General features: G+C 56.7%; 1 protein-coding gene across 2 annotated transcripts in view, besides 8 other annotated features; it reads right to left on the bottom strand.

Moving 5' to 3' along the window:
* PRDM16 (PR/SET domain 16) overlaps positions 1 to 26168 on the bottom strand; it is a 369419-nt gene that overhangs the window by 84217 nt on the left and 259034 nt on the right. The window lies entirely within an intron of this gene.
* Positions 353 to 1326: an enhancer, noted in NCBI's record as "H3K4me1 hESC enhancer chr1:3269643-3270616 (GRCh37/hg19 assembly coordinates)". NCBI's record gives its function as "activates a minimal SCP1, AML or CMV promoter by ChIP-STARR-seq in naive H9 embryonic stem cells {active_cell/tissue: H9 hESC(naive)}" and the evidence as "EXISTENCE:reporter gene assay evidence [ECO:0000049][PMID:30033119]".
* Positions 1327 to 2301: an enhancer, noted in NCBI's record as "OCT4-NANOG-H3K27ac-H3K4me1 hESC enhancer chr1:3268668-3269642 (GRCh37/hg19 assembly coordinates)". NCBI's record gives its function as "activates a minimal SCP1, AML or CMV promoter by ChIP-STARR-seq in naive and primed H9 embryonic stem cells {active_cell/tissue: H9 hESC(naive and primed)}" and the evidence as "EXISTENCE:reporter gene assay evidence [ECO:0000049][PMID:30033119]".
* Positions 4604 to 8876: an enhancer, noted in NCBI's record as "VISTA enhancer hs1912". NCBI's record gives its function as "enhancer in: heart[4/4]" and the evidence as "EXISTENCE:transgenic organism evidence [ECO:0001131][PMID:17130149]".
* Positions 5897 to 6696: an enhancer, noted in NCBI's record as "H3K4me1 hESC enhancer chr1:3264273-3265072 (GRCh37/hg19 assembly coordinates)". NCBI's record gives its function as "activates a minimal SCP1, AML or CMV promoter by ChIP-STARR-seq in naive H9 embryonic stem cells {active_cell/tissue: H9 hESC(naive)}" and the evidence as "EXISTENCE:reporter gene assay evidence [ECO:0000049][PMID:30033119]".
* Positions 6697 to 7497: an enhancer, noted in NCBI's record as "H3K4me1 hESC enhancer chr1:3263472-3264272 (GRCh37/hg19 assembly coordinates)". NCBI's record gives its function as "activates a minimal SCP1, AML or CMV promoter by ChIP-STARR-seq in naive and primed H9 embryonic stem cells {active_cell/tissue: H9 hESC(naive and primed)}" and the evidence as "EXISTENCE:reporter gene assay evidence [ECO:0000049][PMID:30033119]".
* Positions 7853 to 8352: an enhancer, noted in NCBI's record as "H3K4me1 hESC enhancer chr1:3262617-3263116 (GRCh37/hg19 assembly coordinates)". NCBI's record gives its function as "activates a minimal SCP1, AML or CMV promoter by ChIP-STARR-seq in primed H9 embryonic stem cells {active_cell/tissue: H9 hESC(primed)}" and the evidence as "EXISTENCE:reporter gene assay evidence [ECO:0000049][PMID:30033119]".
* Positions 14640 to 15455: an enhancer, noted in NCBI's record as "H3K4me1 hESC enhancer chr1:3255514-3256329 (GRCh37/hg19 assembly coordinates)". NCBI's record gives its function as "activates a minimal SCP1, AML or CMV promoter by ChIP-STARR-seq in naive H9 embryonic stem cells {active_cell/tissue: H9 hESC(naive)}" and the evidence as "EXISTENCE:reporter gene assay evidence [ECO:0000049][PMID:30033119]".
* Positions 23413 to 24090: an enhancer, noted in NCBI's record as "H3K4me1 hESC enhancer chr1:3246879-3247556 (GRCh37/hg19 assembly coordinates)". NCBI's record gives its function as "activates a minimal SCP1, AML or CMV promoter by ChIP-STARR-seq in naive H9 embryonic stem cells {active_cell/tissue: H9 hESC(naive)}" and the evidence as "EXISTENCE:reporter gene assay evidence [ECO:0000049][PMID:30033119]".

The following is a 26168-nucleotide window of genomic DNA, read 5'->3' as shown; positions in this document are numbered from 1 at the left end:
CACTGAAACCTCTGCCTCCTGGATTCAAGCGATTCTCCTGCCTCAGCCTCCTGAGTAGCTGAGATTACAGACACGCACCACAACGCCTGGCTAATTTTTGTATTTTTAGTAGAGACGGGGTTTCCCTAAGTTGGCCAGGCTGGTCTCAAACTCCTGACCTCAGGTGATCCACCCACCTCGGCCTGCCAAAGTGCTAGGATTACAGGCCTGAGCCGCCACACCCGGCCTAGCAATGGTTCTTTATCTGCAGCGTCTCAAATGCTCTGCAGTCCAGAATCCACCACCATTTAATGTTTAATAGACATTTGTAATCGCTTAAGGTTTCTCTCTGGAATTCACGGGAGACAAGTGCCTGGACCAGGACCCGGTTCCATGGGCGTGGCTGGGCAGGAGAAAGCTACTGGGAGTCCAGAGTTGGCCACACTTCCCTTTTCTCTTGGGCCTGTGTGGGCTCAGCAGTGTTGGGTGGGCAGCCCTGCATCCACATGTGTGTGCCAAGGGCCCCCTTGGCTTCTAGAAAGACCCCCTAGGTCTACCAAGCTGCTCCCAGCTGCGCCTGTCATCACTACTGGCTCCGCTGGGAGCAGGGGTCCCCAGGGTAAGGCCTGGTGACAAGACACAGAGGCAGGAGTCAGGAGGTCCGGCCCCAAGTGCAACCCCCTTGGCCACTCTCTGGCTGCTTCGGCATCCCCAAACCTCCACCAGCCTGAGCTAGGATTGTCCTGTTCTCTCTGCAAAGCCTGTGGGTGCAGTGAGGTGGCCTGAGTCAATGGTTTGCCAACTGCCGGTCACACTGCGGGGCTGGACTCATCCCCTGTGGCCTGTGCCCTCAGCCCGTGGCCCCCAGTACTTGGCTGGAGTGTAACGGGGTGGCCCGAGGGAGCCACCCTTGGGCTCCCATGGCCCAGGTGCCTGCCAGAAGCCAGGGCCAGTGCTGAGATTCCTCAATGACCCCAAGGACAAACGCAGAGGCTGCAGGATGGTGTCCCCATGCGCATTCGGGTCCAATTTCAGATGTGGCAAGAAATACCCCGGGCCTCCCTCACCCAATGAGGGCCCTGCCATAGCCCCCAGGCCGAGCCAGGTTTCTGCAGGGACCCAGGCTGCAGGTGAGAAATGGGCCTGCCCATGCCTAGGAGCTGCCCAGCCCTCGTAAACTTTTACCGCACCTCAGGCAACATGCATTTCACACCCGGTTAACTTTTACTACAGGAGGGCATTGGTCAGGAGGAAGCAGCAAATCCTGCTGTGAGGGACGTCCCTGCGTGGGAGTCTGGGCTGGGGGCCAGCTTTCGAGCTCTTCGGGTGTGCGGCTGCAGCCTCCCTTTCCTGACTTCTGGCTCCAGAGCCCCAGGCCTGGTCCTCCTCAGGGCACTGCTCTGAAACAGCCCTCAGCCCAACCGGGAAGCCCTCTGCCTCCGGCCACGCATGGGCCCCGAAGCCTGCAGGGTGGGCACTCAGGGCCCTGTGCAGAGGACGGCCCCCTCCCCGACGTGGGACTTGTGTGAACACCAAATGCGGCCTGACTGCCACCGAGAGCTAGCTATTGTTCCTGACACCGGGCAGAGGCCTTGGAGGCGGCCCTGAAATTTGGGAGGGGGATGAGTTGGGGGCGGGGGCTGTCTCATGTCTGTTTTCAATATGCGGCCAATCGCAGCCTGCTTCTTTTCTGTTTAGGATAATTTTATACTGGGTGGGTGTATTTAGGGCCTGAACGGCCTGACAGTGATGATTAATACCGTGCATTAGGCGATTCCAGCGCAAGTATTCGGGAACAAGCTGTGCTGCGCGGTTCTCATCAGATGGTCAGGCCCGCAGGCCTATTAAAAGCAGCAGGAGGCCTTGAGGCTTAATCACAGAGGCTGGGCCCGTGGAGGGAGAAGAAAGGGAAAGGAAAGGAGAACAAACGAAATGATAGAGCGGAGGGCGGAAATGCTACTGGAATCCGTGTCCCCTCCCCCAGCCCACTGCGGGCAGCAAGGGGGGCGCCGGCTTCGGAGGGGAGGGAGGGTCAGTGGAGAGCATCTGGGGGGAGAAAAACAATTAAAAGCTGCAGCCAGCCGCCAGGACCACAACTCTGCCGTGGGAAGTCGTGGGAGGGGTGGGCACGGCTGGGATGGGGGCAGAATTGAATCAGTCCGCAGGTGGGGGCAGCACGGCTGGGTGGAGGGGAGCACCAGCCCATGGCAGAGAGGGCCAAACACGGAGGGAGAAGGGCCCACACCCTGCAGTGCCAGGGCCGGGCAGGTGGACTGTGCCAGGCAGGTGGACCATGCACCGGTGTGCCAGGGTTGGCCTGGGGCTGTCTGAGCTGGTCATGCTGCCCAGAGTCATTCACACTGTGCTCCCCATTCCCTCGCAGGAGTGTCTCCTCTCCTCTGGAGGTAAAGTGTGTGGTCATCTTGCTCTTTGGGGAGGTCCTTAGGGTCTCTGGAGGGTCTGGGCGAGGCTGAGGATGGTACAGCCCAGCTACCCTCAGGCATCAGTGCCTCCCCGCCCCCAGCTCTCCCTTCCATACCAAGTCACAGACACAGAGTGAGTGTGTGAGTTCTCAAGGGGGAGGCGGAACCCCCCAAATGGCTGGAGACTGCAAGAGGAGGGGCTATGGTGAGAGAGAGCAAGAGAGAGGGAGGGAAGAAGAGAAACAGAGGGGGGGGAGAGAGGGAGAGGAGAGACAGAGGGAGGGGGAGACAGAGGAAGGGAGAGACAGAGGGAGGAGAGAAAGAGGGAGGGGAGAAAGAGGGAGGGGAGAGAGAGAGATGGAGAGAGAGGGAGGGGGAGAGAGGGAGGGGGAGAGAGAGGGAGGGGAAGAGAGAGGGAGGGAGAGAAGGAGGAAGGGGATGAGAGAGGGAGGGGGACAGAGAGGGAGGGGGACAGAGACGGGTTCCAATGTGACACAGTGAGCTGAGGGCCCAGGCACCTGCTCCAGGACCAGGGATGGGAAGGAGAAGACCTATGTCCCTGTGCTGCTCCCTCTGCGTTCCTATAGAGACGGGTTCTGGGTTCTGAAGAAATTCTGGGACCCCACGTGGGCCCTGGATGGAGCTTTTTCCCTAAACCCAGCCCAGGAGAGCAGGAGTTCCTCAATCAGAAGTCTCTCCTGGGTCTTCAAAATGCCTGTGCCAAACAGAGTCTTTTCCACCTGGAGGGACCGGGAGGGACACCCTGTGGCCACCCAAGTGCCTGGTGGGGATGAGAGCTGGCACTGGCCAGGGGCCGGGGTGGACCCCGTGGGAAGCAGGTGCTTCTGAGACCCACATCTCAGAGACCCACAAGCTGGTGAACATGCCCCCAAAACGTCTGGCCCAGCGAGCCAGCGGCCATTCCCAGGACACGGGGATCTCTTGGCCTGTCTGTGCCCCTGCCCAGAGGGCCGCCAACCAGCAGCTCTGCAGACAGTTCCCGCTCTCTGCTGGCTATTTTTGGAAATGGTCTTCTGACTTGTTTTTCTCCCAGGCTCCATAATAAAGCGAGAGCTGAAGTGAATCCCCAAGTCCCCTTCAGAGTGGGCTCTGCAAGGACTGGGGGGTGTATATCCCCCAGCCAGAAGTGCCTGGCGCTGGCTGGGCCCCACCCACCTGGCCTCAAAAAAGAGTTTGAGGCCCAGAAAGAGGAAAACACTGGACGCGGCATTGGGAAGAAGTCGGCAGACACAAAGCTCTTGTCCTGGGAGGGAGGAACCAGCCCGGCCCGGCCATCTGGGAGGCTGCATGGTGCCAAAGCCCTGCCTTCTGGGTGCTCCCAGGGCCCTGCATGGAGCCAAGCTGTGCCCGAGCCCTGGCCGGGCAGGGCTGGCTCCCAGCTCTGCTTTCCACCCGCCCACAGCTGCCTGCCACCCTGGTCCCCTCCCCTTGTCCTGCAGGCTGCTGGGAGGCCACATCAGCCCGGGGCCCTTGATCTTAACACACATTATGTCTGGATCCAAGTGTCACCAAACCTGACCCTGACTGCAGCCCCAGGCTGCACAGACGGAGCAGTAGAGCCCAGGAGGGAAAGAGGGGGTGGCTTCAAGGGTGCCCAGGTTGGAGGTAGAGAGCCGCCTCCCCTCCCACTTCCAGATCTTTTCTTTTCATTTTTTTGAGACAGGGTCTCACTCTCTCGCCCAGGCTGGAGTATAGTGGTGTGATCACAGCTCTCTGTAGCCCGGACCTCCTGAGCTCAAGCGATCCTCCTGCCTCAGCCTCCTGAGTAGCTGGAACTACCAGCACATGCCATCACATCAGGCTAATTTTTGTATTTTTTGTAGAGATAGGGTCTTGCTATGTTGTCCAGGCTGGCCTCAAACTTCTGGGCTTCCTCCCGCCTTGGCCTCCCAAGGTGCTGGGATTTTGGGCCACTGCACCTGGCCCCAGGTCTTTTCTGCCCTGTCCTCTTCCCCCCTCAAAGACAGGAGTCAGGTCCAGGCCTCTGACTGCTGTCTCCTCCAGGGCTCAGGACCCCGCTAGGCACAGAAGAGGCTGCTTTCAAGAGGTGGGAGGGAGCAGAGCTAAACATTCACGGCAGAGGGCGCCTGAGCAAGCCCAGCCCCGGGCTTTGGAGGCTGCGGGGGCTGCGGAGGCTGAGGGCTGGAGGCTCCTCAATCCCCAAGCCCAGCACCGTGGCCAGCAGAGCTCAGGCCTCTGTGAACACTGAGAACAGAAAGCTCCCAGTAGACAGCTCAGCCAGGGAGCTTTGAAGACCCCCAGAGCGCAGGAAGCCGGGGTGCATTGGAGTGGGAGGGAGGGGAAGCTACCATCCAAGGCTGGCTTTCACGGGCGGCCCTGAGCTCTGCCGGGCTGCCTCGGCTCCTCCGCCACCCTTGCCAGCACACCAGCCAGTGGGAAAGAGGGGTCAGCTGCCCCGGGACAAGGACACCCTTGGGTTGAGGATGACAGCTCTGAAATAAGCTCGGAGCCAAGCCCCATGGGCACCCAGTGGCTGCGCCGACTGGGTGCTGGGTGGAGACGGGCAGTGCAGACAGCCCTGCTTCCCGCCATGGCCACTTGCTGGGAGCCTGACCTCCAGGTTATCGGGGCAGCAGCTTCGGCGATGACCTCATTAAGCACGGTGCCACGTCAGCACCTTTCCAAAGCCCCTTTTATCACTCACAGCGTGCCGGTGCGGCCCCGTCCACACCTCCTCCCTGACACCAGCTCTATCTTATCTCCCGTGGGGCGGGGACCCTCACTGGGAGCCAGAGAGCAGGCCCAGGAATGCTGCGCCCAGACAGCCTGGCCATGGGCACTATGCGGACGGAGGTGGGGCAGGGCGAGGCTGTGGTTTGTTGCTGACAAAATCGTGCAGAAATGCATTGACTCCTGGCTTTTCAAATTCAATAATCGTTATGGTGATTATTACAAAGCCCCAGCCTCTCCGGCCATGCTGGGCCCCGCCCCCACCCCCACCAAAGGCAGGAGCACAGAGCCATGCCAGTGGGCTGTTCCCAGGCCAGCGCTGCCCCGGTGGACCCTTCTCTTAATGCCTCTCAAAGTGAGGTGCCCCATCAGGTGCCTCTCCCCACCACGGACTCTAGGACATGGGCCGCTCCCTCATTTTTGCTGGCCTGGGTGGAAAAACTGCCCACTGCAGATGCGGGAAGCTCTGAGCTCTTTGGGAGAGTGGGTGGAGTTGGGTGAGCCCCAGGGCCCCCACCCCAGGCTCACTGCGGCCCCGGTCCCCAAGGGCAGAGGGGAGGACAGACTGTTCCTGTGAAGAACTGAACAGCTAGTGTCAGGAGACAGGGACAGGGCTTGGTGGCACCTGACATTCAAGGTCATGTCTCAAGAGGGGCACTGTGAGTTCAAAGCTCCGGGGAAGCCCCCCTCCTTCTGCTGGAGGCCATGGCGGAGGGCCTCTTTAAGAAGCGTGCATGTCCCTCCCCACTGTCCCTGCCCATTCAAGCCGCCTTTGTGGGCAGCAGAAGCCGTGCCCACTGCTCTCAATGAAGACAGCTCTTTGTCCAAATGTCCTTGGCCCGCGGATTTTGGGGATGGTGCTGAAGAGCTGCCCCCACCGCTGGCCTCTCTCCACTCTCTGCTTCTCCTGGGCCCTAGCACACGAATACTAACGAGTGACCTGGCCAGGCAGCCGAGTAGTTGCTCCAAAAAGCTCAGGGCCTGGAGCCCAGCCTTTGTGGGCACTGAGGGCTGCATGGCATGGGCAGATTCCTATGGTCCTGGGCTGAGCCAGCGAGCCTCATCCTTGCAGCCAAAACCCTGCAGAACTGTTCAGGGGCCCAGAGGGCTACGGTTGGGCCAGACCCCCCAGGCTGGGACGTGGGTTGGGGAGACTCAGCAACCCCTCTGCGACCTGGGCAGAACTCTGCCTGCTGCCAGCAGATGGACACAGGCTGCCCCGTGCTCCGACCAGAGGCATGGGCAGCCTGACCAGAAGTTCGGTTCTAGCCTCGGCCAAAGCAGACTGAGCCACCGAGATGCACAGCCCCGTGTCCAGAGGCTCACGGAACTCAGTGCCCGGCACCAGCTCTGGGGCTGCTCACAGACACTGCCAGGACCCTGAAGTCACAGGGGATGGGCTCGGGCAGCTGCTTTGCACAAGGAACCCCTTCCTCCTGACCACACTACCAGGTGGCTGCCCTTCCTGTTCCCGCCCCAGCCCAGAGCCCTCAGGGGCTTTGGAGCAGGCATCAGGCCAGATCTGGATCAGGGGAGCCCGCAGCTCTCACCAAGGCCTAGGCATGGTGTTTGCTCCTTAGCCCGGAACCTGCCCATTCAGCTTTGCTACCCCAGAAGTCTGAGAAGAGCCAAATGACTCCAAAGTGGGACCTGGGGCAGGGTCATGGACTCCCAAGCTACTCCGAGGACTGACCTTCCCCAGCAGTGAGAGACGGCTCTGCCCCCACCCCCACCCCCTGACTGCCTCTTGCCTTGATTCTACAGGCCCTTGTTCCCACCCAGTGTGCACAGAGCCTGCCTGGGACCAGACGCAGGAGGGCGGGGCCTTCCAGGAGCAGATGGATGGCTCTCGCCAGTGGGACCTGCACCACCGTGGGCCAGGCCCAGGGTGTTCCGGGCTCCTTCCTGGGCCAATGCCAGGGAGCCAGTGGCTGTGGCCAGCATGCATGGAGGCCCTGAGAGTCTCGCCCTCCCTGGGCCTGGTTTCTCCTTCTGGAATGGGGTGGAGGCGCTTTAAGCATTGGGGCCACCTCTGGGCTGGATGGAGCCCCTCTGCCTGTCTGCCTGGTGCAGAACCTTGTGGAAAGACCATCATCCAGGAACCAGTGTCCTGGGAGGGACGGCCGCCTGCCCCTTCCCACACTCACACTCCCGGGGCTGTACACTGACCCCCTCCACCCTCCCCGGAAAGACTGGGCACCTGGGTTTCCTGGACACCTGTGAGGCCCTCAAGGTGGTCGCTGCAAGTTACTTCATGGGTGTCCCAAGCTGCCGGTGAGTGCTGCGCACTTCTGGAGAGGATTAGGTTGCAAAGCCAGCCCTGACACTCAGGTGTCCCCAGGGCCTGCCTGGAGTCCCTCATTTTACAGATGGAAGCACGAAAGGGGAGCGGCAGAGCACCGGTGAACAGTGTTAGGAACTGCTCAGGAGCCACTTGGTTGCATGGTCACTCATTCCGTCTGTTCAGCCGGTCACTAGGCCACTGGGGCGGGCGAACGTGAGAGGAGCCCCTTCCCTTGTAGAGCCACCCACCCTCACCTCACAGTGGGGTGGGTGCTGTTGGGCACCAGAAGTGACCCCAGTCTGGGTGCAGCCGGGGTGAGAAGATGCATCTGCCTGTGCCTCCTTGCAGCCAGCTTGGAGGAGTGAGGGGTGGGCCTGGCTGGCCATCGAGAGGCTCGCAGGTGGAGGGGGTGTCTGTGTTGCCTGCCCCCAAAGACTGGGGACGGTGGAGGGGAGAGAAAGGAGACAGCAGGGTGAGCAGAGAGGCGGGAGGGCCACGTATGCCGCGGGTGCTCCAGGAGGAGCTCAGGCTGCTGAACAGGAACCGTGGGACAGCAGTGTCTCCAGAGTGTTCCGCCCTGTGCTTTGAGCACCAGGCAGGCCCCCGTGTTCTGCCCAAGGCCCTGACTTTTCCAGGCCCTCTTGACCATGGAGCTCCATCAGGCTCCTCCACTGGAAGCCCCCAAGCCCCCAGCCTATGTCACACAGAACTCGACGCACAAACACCTCCAAGACGTCCTGGGGAAGGGTACGTCGCTCACCGCCGTGGGGCAGGGCCAACGGGAGAAACAAAAAAGGAAGCCTGATAAACAGTTTCCATATCCAACATTTTCCACATTCAATTATTTTTAAATTAAATAATCTCTCCCTAGGAGAAAAAGGAAAGTTCTCGCTCAGCTCAGCGCAGCCTTGCCAGGTCTCACAAAGCCCACATTGTGGGTGTTGACGGAGAATGAGTCTCCTTGGAGCCCGCCCCTCAATGCCCCCTTTGATATGCACGCTCACAGGCAGCCCCTCCGCAGGCCCCTGGATGGGGGAGACCCTGGCCCACAGCCACGTGGCCTCTTTGGGGCTCTTGTTGGCTCCCAGGAGCCCAGGGTGGGGGGACTGTGTAGCTCTGGGTGGAGTGAGACAGCTGCCAAGAAAAACCCTCGGCTGCAGAGGGCAGCACGGGAGGACCCGAGAGGGCAGCACAGGAGGAACCAAGGGGTGGCCTGGACCACAGAGGGGGCAGCACGGGAGGACCCGAGGGGTGGCCTGGACCACAGAGGGGGCAGCACGGGAGGACCCGAGAGGGCAGCATGGGAGGACCCGAGGGGTGGCCTGGACCACAGAGGGGGTCCTGCTGCATCCCGGTGACACATTTGGAACCAACAGTGGGAAGAACATGGGATTTGCCATCAGCACCTCAGGATTCAAGACCCAAGTCCCATTCCTACTGGCTGAGTGTCCTTAGGTGGGGTACTTGGCCAGTTTGAACCTCATTATTGCCACCTGTAAAATGGATGCTGCCGTGCTAGCCACTTCCTAGGGCTATGGCAAGGATGACAGAATGAGGCCACAGAACTCACAGTGGAGGTGCGTGTGGCTGTTGGCTTAAAATGGATGTGCATGTGGCATAATAAAGAGTGGGGCCCAGGAGCCTCCGGTTCCCACAGTGGTAGAGTAGCTTCTGTTGGATGTACTCTCCTGCAGATAACAATGATACACTTGGAAAAAAATAATTTAAAACAAAAAAAACTTGATAGCACTAGAGAATAACAAAAAGCAGGTGGGAACTGGAGGAACTGAACCCTTGAAGGAAAGCAGTGCACTGTGAGGGCCACTGTCCTCCAGGTATTCCCTCAAGGCCACTGTGCAGCCTACTTGGTACAGGGCAGCTGGAACTCGGGCAGAAAGCTGCAGTCTTATGGGACAGATGGGTCAGAGGATGCAGTGTGAGGCTGTCAGAGCATCTGTAAGTTGAGGGGAGAAACCATGGAAAGGAAGGAGCCACAGAGACATGATCCTCCTGTGTGCATATACACCCCTCAAACCCCTGAATTGCTCATGCATGAGGGAGGTTGCAAAGGGCCCCACAGAAAACAAGAGCTACACAGAGATTTCACTTGCTGCTTACCACAGCAGGGCTTTGGAATTTGAGTCCCATCAACTTAGAAGAGCTTGATGATCACCTTTGGCTTTCCACTAAAGTCCCAGAAGGGCTGAGCCTTAAGAACAAAGACTAATCCTAAAGATAAAACAGAAGAAGACCCAACCTAATAAAGTGTAGAGCCACACTTCTGCAAACTCAGGGTGAGCACCTAGTGATTGAAACTCTCTCTAGAACCAAAACCAAAACTTTTCAGAGGAATACAACAGAATCCAGAGTTTCTACAATGTCATCTACAACATCCAATACAATAAAAAATTACTAAATGTGCACAGAAACAGGAAATTGTCACCCATAGCCTAGAAAAAACCACAGCCAATCCAAACCAACTCTGATATGAGCCAGATGTTAGAATCAGCAGATTTAAAAATACCTTATAAATATGTCCAAAGACTTAAAGGCAAAGGTAATCACAATGAACTAACAGAGGGGAAATGCCAACAGGGAAATGCCAATTATAATTAAAAACCAAAAGAAAATTCCAAAACAGAAAAGTATACTGCATGAAATAACAAGTCCCTAGATAGGCTTAGTTTTTTTTTTAGATGGGATCTTGCTCTGTTATCCAGGCTGGAGGGCAGTGACGTGATCCTGGGCTCAAACCATCTTCCCATCTTAGCCTTGCAAGTAGCTAGGACTATGACGGTGCACCATCGCAACCGACTAATTGTTTAATGTTTTTGTAGAGAGGGAGTCTTGTTATGTTGTCCAGGCTGGTCTAGAACTCCTGGCCACAAGTGATCCTCCCAGCTCAGCCTCCCAGAGCACTGGGATCACCAGCATGAGCCACCACACCCAGCCCAAGGATGGGCTTTTAACAGCAAGTTGGAGATGACAGAAGAAAGGGTGAGTGAACTTGAAAACAGATCCATAAAATTATCCAATCTAAATAATAGAAAAAATATACTGAAACCAGGCTGGGAGCGGTGGCTCACACCTGTAATCCCAGCACTTTGGGAGGCCGAGGTGGGTGGATCACAAGGTCAGGAGATTGAGACCATCCTGGCTAACATGGTGAAAGCCTGTCTCTACTAAAAATACAAAAAAATTAGCCCGGCATGGTGGTGGATGCCTGTAGTCCCAGCTACTTGGGAGGCTGAGGCAGGAGAATGGCGGAGGCGGAGAACCCGGGAGGCGGAGCTTGTAGTGAGCTGAGATTGCACCACTGCACTCCAGGCTGGGTGACAGAGCGAGACTCCATCTCAAAAAAAACAAAACAAAACAAAAACCAAAAGCTGAAACCAAAGGAAAAGAGCCTGAGCGATATGTGGGACAATATCTGATACATATGTAACTGGAGTCCCAGGAGGAGAGAAGAGCTAGGAAGTAAAGCAAAAATTAAAAAAAAAAAGTCTGAACAAAGCACTAAACCCAAAGGAAGAGATTTAAAGCATTCACCAATCAAAAGACTCAGCTAAGAAAATAAAAAGCCAGGCCACTCATTGGGGAAAAATATTTGTAATACATATAAACGACTAAGGACTTGTATCTAGGATACATAAAGATCTAAAAATCAATTGATAAAAAGACAAACAATCCAATTTAAAAATGGACAAAAGGCTTGAACGAACACTTCACAAAAGCACTTATACCCAGTGAAAATATCACAATTCATCTGGGAAATGCATACTAGATCCACAATGAGATATTCTTTCACACTCACTCAAACGGTTATAATGTAAAAGACTGACTACACTAAGTGTCGGTGAGGACCGGAGCAGCTGGAACACTCACACATTGCCGCTGGTGGAAATGCAAAATAGTACAACTTTTTGGAAAGCAATTTGTCTCATAAATGTAGACATTCATGTATCCTACTAGTGAACAATTTTACTCCTGGACAATTTATATCAAAATGAAATGAGTTGAAAACTTAAGTCCACACAATGCTTGCACATGAATACTTGTAGAAACTTTATCTGTAATAGCCCACATCTGATACAACCCAAAACGCCCATGCCTAGGACAGTGGATAGACAACCTGGGATCTATTCATACCATGCATGCTACTGCCATACAGAATAAAAGAACACGCAGCTGACAAGTGCAGTGGCATAGATAGCCCTCAGACATCCTCATGTCGAACAAAAGAAACTGGCTACAAAACAGTGCCTTATGCGTGGATGTCTTTATGCGGAGTTCAAAGACAGGTAAAATGAATCCAAGGTGATAGACATCAGAACAGCGGCTGGCCATTTGCCCTTGGGGGATATTGACTGGAAGAGACCAGGAGTGATGGAAAAGCCTTCTGTTGATTCTAGTGGTGGCTACGTGTGTCAAAGTCATCCAAGTGTGCCCTCATGGTACGTATAGGCTACCGTATATATCACACATCATACAGGCATGGGGGCTCTGAGGCCAGACTGCCTGGTTTGAGACTCACCTCTGTCACTTCCTATTCTAGCCACTGCTAACTGTGGACACTTATTTTAGCAAGCTGCCTTGCCTGCAGGCAGAGAGGTGACGTGGCAGAAGGGGCCACTGAAGTAGTGGGTGGCTTGGTTGCTCCCACCTGCCCAGAGGGCTTCTCAGGTTTGAGTTGTTAATTTTCCTCCCCTGGAACTTTCCACAAATAACTTGAAGTGTTTTGGGAGTTGGGAGAGTATTGTCTTAGGAATATGTTCATTCATTCTCCCAAGGACCTGGTATGGAACTGTGGGTTCCAAGGTTACTTCTGGGGTTCGGTGGGGAGGGTGTTGGTGGCACAGGTGAGCCACGCCGGCACGAGGCTCCCCTCTCAGAGGCCATCGTGCACCCTGGGTTTCCCTAGCTGCCTCATCCAGGCTGAGCACGGCTGGGCTGGGAAGATCACCAGCAACCTGCAACCTCAATCATGGTCTTTCCCATCCTTACATTTAAAAAGGACAGGTGCTTTTCAACTTGAGATGGGGTTACCTCCCAAGAAGCTCATCATAAATTGAAAATATTGTGAGCCAAATGAATTTAATACACCTAACCTACCCGAAGAAGACAGCCCGGACTCACCTGCCTCAGATGTCCTCGGAAATCTTACAGTCAGGCAACACCGTCTGGCCACACAGTGCGCTGCAGAGCGCGGGCGGTTCACCCTCATGACTGTGTGGCTGGCCTGGGAGCGGCAGCTGCTGCTGTTGCCCCACACAGCAAGAGGGTGTTGGGCCACAAATTGATAGCTGGGAAAATATCAAAACTCAAAACCCGACGTATGTTTTCTATTGAATTATTATGATCACTTCTCCACCGTCGTAAAGCCAAACATTCCTAAGTTGAGCGATCGTAAGTTAGGGACCCTCTGTGTGTGTGCGCACGCGTGTGTGTGTGTGTTCTGACATCCTGGTTTCTTCCTCTTTGTCTGTGCTTCACGGCGGGTCTCGCTAGCCAGGCTGGCCGGACACTGATCTCCATCTGCCAGACCACCCCGATTCTTCCATTCAGGAGCTGCTTAGGAAGCATGGGGCAAAGTCGCCAGGTTGCCCCCCTTGCTTCCCCTCTGGATGGGAAGCTCTCTAAGGCAGCAGCTGCAACCACAAGGCCCAGGGCCTGCAGCCTCTGAAGGAGGACAGGTGAGCCCTGGTCACTCCCTCTGAGACCTACCCTTGCCAACGGGGATGGAAACCTGGCTGGGGTAAGACAGCCGCCATCTGCCACACCCACCAGGCGACAGTCACTTCTCGAGAGCTTTGCACTCTGGAGCTTGCTCAGCTCTGCTACATCCTCTGTGGCCTGGATGGCTCACCCATCATAGCCCAGGAGAAACGAGGGCTCAGAGGGGGAGAAACGAGGGCTCAGAGGGGGAGAAACGAGGGCTCAGGGGGCAGCAACTTGGCCAAGGAGCGTGCGGGGTTGGACACATCCCCCTCCCTAGCCTGGAGCCTTCAGCTGCCACACAGCCCGAGGGAAGGTGCGCTGGGGTCAGCTCACGGGGGCCATGCTCCCCTTCCTCCAGGGAGGACTCCAGCCAGCTCTGTCCTGCTGCAGCACGGCCCCCAATGCCAGCTTCACCTCTGTCCTCCAGTCTGGAGGTGCACAGGGCCTTCTGCCTTCAGCCACCCCATGACTTCTGCCCCACACCCTGACACCATTTTGGCTGTTAATTTCATAAAGAGGCCGTTGTTCATCTAGATGGCCTTTACAAAACACGTCCCCAGTGAGTGGAAACATTTAGTTAATAATTTAACACTGTGCTGGCTGCTGAATTTTCAGGCCCCCAAATAAGATCGATGGAGCTAACAATTGGCTTATTGAGTGTCCCGGCTCTATTTCCTGAAGACACAGACACGCGTAGAAGGGACAGACTCAGAGTGGGGGAGGGAGCCCTGTGCAGGGGGAAAAACGTAGATGGTATTGATGCAAGTTGTCAAAAATAATTGTTTTATTTTCCCTCGGAATGTTCCAGACATCCCCAGATGCACTGATCCATGGCGCTGGCTCTCCGGGAGCGGGTGTTTGGTATTTATGGCGTTTTGCAGCACCTCTGAGATGGGGATCAGGTAAACGCTCCTGCCTCACACTGGTGCCATCTGTCCCCAAATTGTTTCAGGAACGGGGTGAAGGGAGGGAGAGGCCACCACCTGTACCTCCCTCCGAGGGGCAATGGTGGCTTGGAGGGTGGGCTCGTGGGGTCTGCTTGGGGATTTAGGGGGTACAGTGTGCAAAGGGCCCAGGTAAGGACTCGGCTACCACAGCAGAGGATCCCCCGAGGCAGACCCAGACCTGGAAGCCCCCACCTGTGTTTTACCCAAAGGAAATAGGGTCACACTTTACCCATGAAGCTACTTGACAGCAGATTCCAGAGGATGGACCTGCAAACCTGGGCAGCGAATCCGTCCATACGCAGCAGAGATCGCCTGCCATTGACGGAGCATCAGACAGAAATTTCACGCGGGTCCCAGGGAGAGGAGGAGGCACGCTCGGGGGATGGCACACCTGTTCCCCCCAGCCCCACTTGCCTGGTGGCCCTTCCAACCTCAGCTGCTGCACAGAACCGCATCTTCCTATGGGACTGAGCTGGGCTGCCCTAGCACCGGCCCTGGCCAGAGTGGATTCTTCCTCCCTTTGAGTGACAGGGGCTCTCTGAGGATTCCAGCAGCTGGGGAAGGGAATGGTGAGGCAGGTGAGGGGGGAGTTTAGCCCCGTCTCCCACAGTTCTGAGGGAGGCTGAGGCAGATGGGGTAACTGAGCTCTGCACACCCCCCACCACACACACAATGCAGCCAGGGGTCCGCAGTAGGACTGTCACCTTCACGAGCAAGGTGGGAGGTGTGAGCGAGACCAAGGCAATGGTCGCTCCGCAGCCTCCTCCCACGCTCCTTCCCACCTCACTGCCTGAATCGCTCGGTGGGCAACAAAGCTTTGTTGCTCTTGAAATCCCAGCCTAAGTAGCACTTCCTCCAGGAAGCCCCTGTGGATTCACTGGGTAGGGGTCATGCCCTTTCCGCTCTGCTCTGAGCACTTTCTAGGGTCCTACTGACCACCCAGGATGGTTGCCACTCATCCACCCATCCCTCTGTTCCTGCTTCCGGGCACGGATGCGCGGAGGCCCACCCTGTGCCTCACCCTGGGCAAGGGCCAGGGATACCGAGACAAGCAGGACGTCTGTCTTTGATGGTACTGTGGTGGGTGGGTGAGCTGTCTCCCTCGGGGGCAGTATCCCACAAAACGTGGTTCGGCTTTCAGCAGCTGGAGGTGAGGGTGGCCAGGAAGCTGCCCTCCAGAAGGAGAGAGCAGGAGATGCCTCTGAGCACCCGGAAAGGCGGGACATGGGGAGGCCAGAGAGGGGAGTGCACGGAAGCTCCCCATCGATCGCCTTGAAGCTGCAACTCTCCCCAGACAGCAGCAGGGCTCCAAACTGCCTCTCCTTGGCCTGAATGGCAGCTGCTGGGGTGCCTGTCACTGTCACAACGGGCTTCTTCCTGCTTGCTGGGCTCTGGGGAGCTCAGCACAGCCGCACAGAAAAGGGCAGAAATGGTCCACTGCCATCAGACAGCCCTTTCTCTGCTGGCCTGTCCTCATGGGCTCGGCCTGCTGCAGTCAGCTCCAAAGAAAACAGGACGGTGGCATGTGTGTCCACAGTGTGTCCTGCCCAGAGAGGACCCTGGCCTGGCCTGTGCTCAGACACTTTCTGTCCTGGCTGCCTCTGGGGCTCCAGGAGGGCATGGTAGCCACAAGCCCCTGGGTTCCAGGAGCTTCCCCAGCCAGCCAAGCAGCCCTCATGGCGTGGGACCCTGAGTGGTGGAGCCCGGGTTATCAGGCCGGAGGTGGAGGGGCTGAGCACCCAGAGGCCAAGCCCTGGTGAGATACTCATCAACTGGCCACCCTGGGCAGTCAGACAGAAGAGGCGGCTTTCCCCGGGCACCCCGTCCCCACTTGGAAAGGAGCCTCTGAAATGAGGAAGTCGGGTTGGAAGCCAGGAGGGCACCTTGGCCCTAGCTTCTTGGTTCACTGCTCAGATAACTGAAGGGTAAACAGAGCACTTGCTCCCTGGACAGTGTGTTTGTGATAAGCCTAGAGGCCAAATGTCCTGGGGCCTCGAATTGGGCCCCAGAGGAGCAAGGGAACATCTGTTCCCCACGGGGCTTCTCATCTGAGGCCACAGGAGCCCCTGGCAGGACCACGGAAGCCCTGGCATCTGGGAGGCTTGGGGCCCAGTATGCCCCCTTCTCCTGCCTTGCGAGGGTCCTTGCAACTTCCCAAAGAGAATTCGGCTGCGCCTGTTTCTCTGGAAGGATGAGAATGGAATAAATGACAGCTGAGGCTAGAGCTTCATGAAGCTAGATGTTCATGTGTGTGCACACGTGTGTGCATGCACACGTGTCTGTGTGAATGTGTGTGCATGTCTATATGTGTGCACATGTGTCTGTGTGTATTCATTTGTGTGCATGTGTTTTTGTGTACTATGTTCACACATGTGCGTGCCAGTGTGTGGGCATATGTGTGTACATGTGTCTGTGTGCATATCTATGTGTACACAAGTGCCCATGTGTGTGTCCGTGCATGTGGGCCTGTGCGTGTGACTTTTGTTTCTTTTCCCTCCATCTTTTGTTCCAGCACCAATGCTCAGTGTCATGCTCCAGGTCACCAGGGCGAGGGGTGGAAATGCCGGTCAGCCAGGAACTCTATCGTGTGCTCTCTGGGGATCCCCAACCAGAGAGACCAAATGGAAAACCGCACAGCATCACACCAAGGGAAAGCCAGCCAGCCTGGGGCAGAGATGGTTGCATGGTGTGTGCCCGCAGCCCCTGTTGGGGGCTGGCCCCGCAGTGGCCAAGCAGCCTTCCTCTGCACCTGGTGGGTCTCCCCCAGCTCCCACCCCAAGGGCCTCTAGCTCAAAGGTCCCTGATGATGGTCCCCTTGATGATGTCTTGGTGACCTGGCATGGCCCCTACTCTAACCCACAAGATCCCAGCTTTAGAAATCAAGCACCTCCTAAGAACCCTGCTAAACCTGTTCTCCCAGAAAAGAGAGTGGCCACAGCCTCAGGAGCAGCAGTTGGGTGCCTTCGATGGAGGAAGCGGTGGGGATGCTCAGAGCACTGGGGAGAAGAATGTGCCAGCTCTCAGGTGGGGCCTTTCTCTCCTGTCTCCTGAATTAGAATTCACAGTGGGATTCACAGATACACATGCACACAGACTCACACCAACACACATGTGCGTGTATGCATTCACACACAGAGACTCACACCAACACACATGTGGATGCATGCACTCACAGATGTACACAGATTCACACCAACACATATGTGCATGCATGCATTCACACAGAGGCTCACACCAACACTCATGTGGATGCATGCGCTCACACACGCACACAGATTCACACCAACAGATGTGCATGAATGTGCACACACAGACTCACTCCAACACACATGTGCATGCATGCATGCACACACAGATTCACACCAACACATATGTGCATGCATGTGCTCACAGACTCACACCAACACATGTGCATACAAGCATTCACACACAGACTCACACCAACACACATGTGGATGCATGCACTCACACATGCACATATATTCAGACCAACACAATGTGTGTGAATGTTCATGCACACACAGACTCACTCCAACACACATGTGCATGCATGCATTCACACACAGATTCACACCAACACACATGTGCATGCAGGCATTCACACACAGATTCACACCAACACACATGTGCATGCATGTGCTCACAGATTCACAAAAACACATATGTGTGTGAATGTGCACACATACACACACTCACTCCAACACACATGTGCATGCATGCACTCACAGACTCACACCAACACAGATGTGCATGCATGCACTCAGACTCACACCAACACACATGTGCATGCATGCACTCACACACAGATTCACACCAACATACAAGTGCATGAATACGCTCAGTCTCACACCAACACACATGTGTATGTATGTGCACACACACAGGCTCACTCCAACACACATGTGCATGCAAACACACATGCACAGACACACCAACACACATGTGCATGCATTTGCTTACAAATATGCACACACACCCCTCCACATGCACACACACATGTGCATGTACACACATGTGCATGTACACAAACAGCCACAGACACACACGTGCTCATACACAGAGATAAACATGCCTACACCTACACACAGACTCCAACATACATATATACGCACGTGCACACATGCGCACATAAGATACACACACCGATACATATGCATGTCCCCCGCTATCTTGGCAGGTCAGTAAGCCTGAATGCAGGGGCTGGGCCTAGCAGTCAGACCCCACACCCTCTCTCCCTTCATCTTCACTGTTCTCAGGCACAGCTGTGGAGATTGGGGTTCTGCACATCAGCGTCAGCGATACTCTGGGCAGGCTGTCGAGACGTCACAGCCTCCTCTGTGGGGCTGCCTGACAGATCCACGACTGACTTCAGGGAGCGGAGTTCACAGTAAGGAGGTTCTGAGGACCAGAGAGAGCGAGCAGGGCTGGGCTGGTCATGGAGACCAGTCTGAGCTCTCCCACACTTCAGTGCAGGAGCATGGGGCACTTGGCCCCCGGGCCTCCTGTGAACCTGGGCAGAGGTGGCTGGGGTGCCAGGGGAGGTGTGGGCAGCTGGGCTCTGTGGACTCCTGAGTCCTCCTTGCCCCTGCCAGGCCAGCACCTTCCACCAGGATGCCAGAAAGAACGGGGAAGAAGGCTGGATTTTGAAAGAAGTAGGTGTTTTTCTTTGGAAAGTTTATTTGCAGATTTATGTCCAAGGGTGTGTGTGTGTGTGTGTGTGTGTGTGTGTGTGTGTGTGTTTTAACCTCAGCCAAAGGTTAGATTTCAGATATCCTCCAATGCTCTGTTTGAAGCCTTGTTTGTTTGTTTGGATTGGCCAGTCAAAAGTTAAAAGAAATAAACTCTGCTCCCTTTAGAATCCTGTTGAGCACGCTTTCGGACATGCGACGTGCTAACGCGACCGGGCTAAGGACGTGTTCTCTACGGACGCCCTGAGGGGAGGAACTGTTCCCCATCCTCCAAGGGCTTCCATGTCCTGCTATTTCCAGGCCGGCCCCAGCCCTCAGTCAATAACGTTCTTTCATTCACTTTCCCAAGCGGAAGGCTGTGAAAAGTCTCCTTTGAAGTGCCTTCCTCGGTGTGGTGATCTGGCTTCCCTTTGCACCCAGACACCAGCTCCCCAAACACGCTTCCTCTCAGGCCTCAGAGCAGGACGCTGGGGCTGTGCAGGGCAGCTGGAATTCGCACGCTGGGCTCCTTCCAGGCAGGGACAGGGGCCTTGAAGCGAGTTCTCTCAGGGCGCCCACCCTCCTGAAGCCACAGGGGGGAACCTGGTCTCCCTGCCACCCCGTCCTCTCTGGCTGTGCCCTTGACATGGCGGGGCTGGCGCTGGGGACTCTGGCTCTGAGCCTATGGGGTCATGTTGCTGCTGTTCGTACAGGCACATCCTATGGGGTTGGACGCGTGGATGGCCCTCCGCGGAAGGCGCAGGCCATTGCTGATCCTAGTTGGCGACCTCAGGGGCCTTGTTTCCTCATCTATAAAGTGGATTAAAAATGCCTGCAGTGCAGGATGGCTGTTGGAGTGAAATGAGCTGAGTGAGGGTGAGTGTTCGTTTGCTCTGTTCCCGGCGAGCACTTGGCGATGATGATTGATGGGCAGAGCTGAGATCCGTGAGAAGGACGTGGGTGAACCTGGAGGTGGTGGAGGCCACAGTGGTGGCTTTGTGGAGCAGAGCCCCGTGGTCTCTAGGAAGCCCTGGGCTGGGCTGGTCTCCTCCACTGGGCACAGCCTCTGCAAGGCAGGCATTGTGGCCATTGTAGGTGTCAAGGGCTGGTTCCCTGTCCCGCTTTCCTCCCCACAAGAGGAGTTGATGGCGGCCAGCCAGGAACCTCAGAGACCCTGTGGGAGCCAGAATTTGAGGACCTGGTCCTCAGCCATGCTTCACTTCAGAAATGACCCTAGTGACATCTGGGGCTCTCTTCAGAGAATGTGGGGGGGTGGGTTATGGGCATACTCATTGGCCTCGCCATCTCCCCCTGGCCTTTGTGCCCTTCCTGATGGAAGTCCCTGACGTGGTGGGACCTGTGGCAACCCCTACATCCAACCCCGGCAATCCCTGGCTGGGCTGGGCCAGGCTGCAGTTCATCGTCTGGAAGCTTCTGTGCCTGCTCTGTCTTCCCTCTTTCCTGAAAGCTCAAGGCCTGGTAAACACTCGTCCTCGGGGTTTGGGTTATTTTGTGAGCCTGTCTCCGTTTGGCAGCTGAGGAAGCAGCTGCCCAGGGAATCACAGGCTGTGCCCTGGCTCACGCTGCTGGTAAATAAATCCTGTGCCAGGTCAGCTGCACTTTACGTGTGTTATGCCGTTTTGCATTACTTCAAAGAAACACCTGAGGCTGGGTAAAGAAAAGAGGTTTCATTGGCTCGTGGTCCTGCAGGCTGTATAAGCATGGCACCAGCATCAGCTCAGCTCAGGGGAGGCCTCAGGGAGCTTTTACTCATGGCAGAAGGGGAGGGGAGCCTGCGTGTGACATGTGATAGAGTGGGCAAGAGGGAGAGGCTGGGGAGGTCCTAGACTCTTTTAAAGCAGATCTCGCATGAGCTAACCGAGGGGGGACTCACTCATCACCAAGGGGATGGAGCCAAACCTTCCATGATCCATGATCTACTCGCCTCCTGCCAAGCTCCACCTCCAAAATCAGGCATCACACTTCAACATGAGATTTGGAGGGGACGCACATCCAAACCCCACCACCACATCTGTGACCTTAGCCGCGATGGCTCTTGGCCAAGAGAAGGTTCTAGATGCCTTCGGAGGAAGGCTTTTTGGAGGAGAGACGTCTGTGCTCATCAAAGGGGCAGATCTTTCCTCCCTCACCGTGCTGCTCTAGGTCTGAAGCCCCTTTTCCTGCATCTCCACATGAGCTGGAAAGCTAGGGCACGTTTTGGAGTCCGGTTTCCAGACTCCTAGGGTCAGATGCAGCCCCAAGATTCTGAGATCCTGCAGCCAGGCCAAAGCACTGGCCCTGCTCAGCCTCCCCGTTGTGGGAAGTGGCCCCTTCTCCAGCACACAAGGCCCTGTGCTTTCTGAGCCAGACCCCTGCCACGCCAAGGGGGTCTCTGCTACTCCTGCCTCCTCTGCTCCAGCCTCCTTCACCCCCACGAGGGCCTCCCTGTGTCTGATGCAGAGGGACAGGCACCCACCTCTCCAGGACACCTGGCTCTCCTCCCCACCACCTTGCTGCCTGGACTCTGCCACTGTAAGCTGAGGAGTAAGGCCGTGTGACCTGCAATCCCACGCCTAGATATAGACCCAAGAGAGCTGAAAGCAGTGTTCAGACAAAAACAGGCACACTCATGTTCATAGCAGCACTGTCCAAAATCGCCAAGAGGTGGAAAGAACTCATGTCCACCAGCAGAGGAGTCTGCAGCAGAATATTAGCCAAGAAAAGGAGTGAGGCACTGGCCCACGCTACAGTGAGGAAGAACCTTGAACACAGATGCGTAGTGAGAGAAGCCAGGCACCAAAGGACACAGATCATAGAATTCCATGGAGAGGACAAATCCAGAGGCCGAACAGGGATGGGTCAGCAGTTGCCAGGGCCTGGGGGGATGGGCGGAGGAGAATGAGTGCTGCTGGGGTGCAGTCAGGGCCTGGGGGGACGGGCGGTGGGGAGTGAGTGCTGCTGGGGCGCAGTTTCTCCTGGGGTGGTGAAAGCCTCTCGGAAGTCGGCAGAAGTGGTGTTTGCACAACAATGCAGATGTGCTAAATGTCACCGAATGACACGCCTTAAAATGGTTAAAATTAGAAATTTATCTTATATGTATTTTGCCACAATAAAAAAAAAATCAACCCTTGAAGCATAAGACCGATCTAGAATGGAAAAAAACAACAGCCCATAAAGCCCCCAAAACAAAATAAACCAAACCGAACCGAGGGGGGGCCAGGCCACGCCCCCCCACCGCTCCCTAGCCGCCCCACGGCCTCCCCCAGCCCCGAGCCCCCCACTGCCCACACCACCCCGACATTAGAGGCCTGGGGATTACTCGCCTAATCCAGCTCCCGCTGTAACAACAGGGCTGCCTAATTGAAACGTATGAGAAACAATTAAGAGTAATTGGAATCAATTAATAGATGATTTTCTCGGAAGCGAGTACACAGCGCGTGGCAGAATCTCATTACCACTTCCCAGTGCACGCACCTCCCATATCAGGCCAGCCTGGAAAGAGGTGAGCGCATTGTCAGGAAAGTGGGAGATGCGGAGCCTGAAAATGGGGCTGAAGGCCATGGCAGGAGGGTCGGGGGCTTGGCCAGACAGAGGTGGGGGACCCACGGGTGCTTCGGAGCAGGGAGCCTGGCAGGGTGGGACCTCCAAGCCCGTCCCCTGTTCAGGAATGCACACCCAGTCCCAGGGCCAGAGTCTATGTTTTAGGGGCATGATAGAGCCACTGCCTGGGCAGAGAGGTGACCCTCCCTCATCCTGAGAGGTGGAGATGTCTGTGTCATGAGCCCGGAGTCCCTGAGGCCCCCCGGGGCTGTGTGCAGATCTGGCCACAGACGGGGCCGGGCCACAGCTCACAGCCATTCCACCCGAGCGGGGAGCCTACTAACAAGGGGTTGCTTAACCCACAGCAGAGCCACGGTGAGCCCAGGACGCAGCCCAGGAGCCCTGGGTCCGGGTGCCAGGCAACGGGGAGGAAGGCTGTTCTCTGCCCATTCCCACAGAAGGGGCTGTCAGCGGCCCTGGGCACCAGGATTCCTCTGGGCAGCAAATTAGAGGATTTGGACGAATGTGTTTCCTTTCCGGGATCTGGCTCCTTGAAGAACGAGGCTCAGAGAAGTCCCTCCTGGCAGCCCCCGTCCCATGTGTGTCCCTTTGTAGTAGTTACTCAGCCTGGAAGTGGAGCCTGGGCTATTCGCTCATCTGTTCATTCATTCATTCATTCATTCAACAAACGTGCTTTGAACCCCTCTGTACCTGGGGTCCTGATCTGGGGGATTCCCTGGTGGGCTGTGTTCTCTGCAGAGAGGGTCCATTCATCAATGGACTCGGGGATGAAGGGGGTTGCTAGGAATGCCCCCCACCTCCAAGTGTGCCGGGGGGGGGCTGCCTTTCTCCAGACTCCCAGTATGCGCCCCCCCCAGGCTGGCAGGGGGAAGGGGCAGTGGAGAAGTTGCGCAGCTTCCCCCCTGCAATCCACAGGTGATCAAAGCCCACCCAAGTGCTGGAGGTATGGAGGCCAGGGCAGAGGAAGGCCCCCTCCCAGGCCGAAGGGCAGGAGCAGCTTGCAGGGCTGAGTGGGCTGGCGGCCCCTCCCTTGGCCCCTGGAGCCCGGGTGGGCGGTGGGGCCTGTCAATGTGGGGTTTAGCGGGGCCTTATCAGATGGAATTGCTGCTATTCTCCGCATTCAGGCCCACTTCCTGTGAGCTGAAAGCCAGGCCCTTATCTCCTCACCCCCTGACCCTGGCAGGCACACTCCAGGTGGCTCCGATTTCTGCCCCAGAGCAGCAGGTGAGAAAGTCTCTGGCTGGAGGCAGAGGGAGGAGGGCCCTGAGGGCAGCTCGGGCCTGTATGAACCAGGGGCACCTCCACTCGGCCAGAGATCCAAGGTTTCTGGGGTCTGACTCGCCCTCGCTTAGGAGGCTCTGTCGTGATGACTGCAAGAGCTTCTCAAAAACCCACCCTCCCCAACAACCTCTCTGGGCTGTTTGTTCTGCCATTGGACTGGCAAGTGGGTCCTGAGGCTGTGGGGCAGATATTGCCTTGGGATTTGAGGTGGAGGCACAAGGGTGTGTCTGAGACCCCAGGATTAGAAAAGTGGCCCCTGCTGAGGCAGCAGCCAGGCAGCCCCCGCTGAGCTGAGAGGGGATGTGGTGGGGATGCCTAGGGAGCGAGGGGCAGATGGGAAGAAGAGCAGAAGAGAATGGGCGCCATGTGAGGCCTCTGCTCTCTGTTCAGGGCCACTGTCATTGGCATTATTTTGTCCCTGCATTCTTACAAGGCCACCAGAGAAGGCCTTGAGCGGACGCCTTGCCAAGTGACAATTAAAGGATGAAGACTTAGACACAAAAAGCATCTCCAATTTCCAATTTCAGTTTCTGAAGAGTCCGGGGCCTCCTGCTCTGTCTGCCAGCCAGGGCCTCCCTGCTGAGCTCTCAGAAGTGTTTGGGTCTGAGGCCCACCCAGCCTCATTCCCCGCCTCTAGCTTTGCTGCTCGGCTCTGGCCAGGCGAGAGTTAAACTCCACCATTTGATTTGACAAGCCCAAGGTGAAGTGGGTGACCAGAAGTCTCAAAGGCATCCTTAACCCCTCTTGGCGGAGGGCTCTGCTGCTGTTCTCTGGGCAGACTCTGCCATCATCACTTGTGATCGCAATCAGAGCCCTGGCAGAGGACCTGCATTCTTAAAGGGACAGTGATCTCCAAGCCTCCTTCCAGAGACAACTGTCCTTTCCCCTGACCCACCTCCTGGGTGCACTTCTTCCCAGCTGGCGGGACTCGGCTCAGCCCAACACAAGCTCAGCCATGGGCACCTGTGGGTAAGGCAGGGACTGCATGGGAGGCCGGAGAACACAGCCCACCATAACCAGTGGGTGGCAGTGGGGGCCTCTCCCAGGCGTGCCCCTCTCTCCAGAAGCCGCACGGCCTGGGGTGCCCCTGCCCACTCTCCTGTGAATGTTTTTCTTCCCACAGCCAGAATCACACTCAACTCATTGGGCCAGGCAGCTGGAAGAGAGGGGTGTGAAGGCTCGCCCTGGGCTGGAGGGCTCTGGCACCTGTGGGGCCAGCTCCTTGTGAGCCCATAGCCCCTTCCTCTGCCTGGTTTTCCTGTGATGATGATGAGGTCAGGACGCCTCTAGAGAGTGTGCCCCACGGTCCTCCTGTTAAGTTACTAAGTGTTGCTGCAAACCCCTCGGCCCCCGACACTACAGCCTGGGAGACAGCTTGGGCCTCTCCCTCCTGGCTCTGTCCGGGGATCCCATTAATTCCATTCCTGCAAAACTGGATAGCGAGACACAGTCGGGAAGGGGTGGGGGGTGGTGGGTTGGAGGGGTCCTACCCGGATGCTTGACCCCTCAGATGAAGAAGTGGGAGGAAAGGCCCCCAGCCCCCCAACTCCAAGCATTTCTGCCTCCTGCCCTAGCACCATCTGGAACGCCACCACGAACACCACCATGCCCGCTGGGCAGCTGTGCCTGGCCCAAGGCTGCTGGTCAGTGCTGCTTCCTACCTACAACTGCTGGGACAGGATGTGGTTGGTGCCTTCCCTGGGCAGTTTGGGAGGCCCTTGGGGGCAGAGGTGGTGAGTGGAAGAGGGGTCCAGGGGCCACAAGTTTCCTAGGAGGGGCCCAGGGAGAAGGCGCCCATTCCTCGCCTGGGGGGAAAGGGTCTGGCTGGGCCCCTGTTCTCCTCTGGCCTGGGAGGGGCTGGGGAGTTCCCTACCCGCCAGCATTGGTGCCCTCCCCCGGCAGGCCCCTGTGGATGCTGGGCTTCACGGTCTCACTGAATCTGAACGGGGGGTCCAGGGCGTGGGCATTGGCTTCTGTGTCTCACCTTTTACGTAGGAAATGGAGGCGCAGAGGGTCGGACAATGGCCCAAACCCAAGCCCCCACCTGGCTGCAGATTCTGCGTATGAGCTGCGTGAGCTGCTCCATGTGCCAGAGTCCTCACCAGGCACTGATGCCCGAGCCAAGTCTCTGGAGCCCTGGGGGGTCTCCTTCCTGGGTCTGATAAAACAGACTCCTGGCCCGAAAGCATCTGTTCAGGCCTCTGTTCTAGGGGAGACAGCTGTACCCTCTGATGGGAGCCGCATCCACTGCAGCAGCCCAGACAGGACCCCTCGGCTGGCAGCACAGGGCCCCGTGCCCTTTGAACCCACAGGGTCTCCGCCTGCTTCCCACCTGCTTTCCTAAGAGCCCCGGCTGCCAGGCGAGTGACGAAAGCTCCGCGCATGCTGCTAGACCTCCCCCAGGAAGGCTGACACAGGCAGGGCCCTGTCATCAAAGCCCCTGGCCCACGACCAAGGAGATAGCTCTGGTTGTCACTGTTGTCTACTGGGCAGAGGCAGAGATGTTGTGAGCACCCCCCACTGCACAGAACAGCTCCCCACAACAGAATTATCTGACCACAAATGTCAGCAGTTTCAAGATTAAGAAACCTGACCA

Source organism: Homo sapiens, chromosome 1 (assembly GCF_000001405.40).
Source record: "Homo sapiens chromosome 1, GRCh38.p14 Primary Assembly".
NCBI classification, from domain to species: Eukaryota; Metazoa; Chordata; class Mammalia; order Primates; family Hominidae; genus Homo; species Homo sapiens.
Note: the sequence above shows the minus strand (reverse complement) of the source record. Positions and strands in the feature narration are given on the sequence as shown.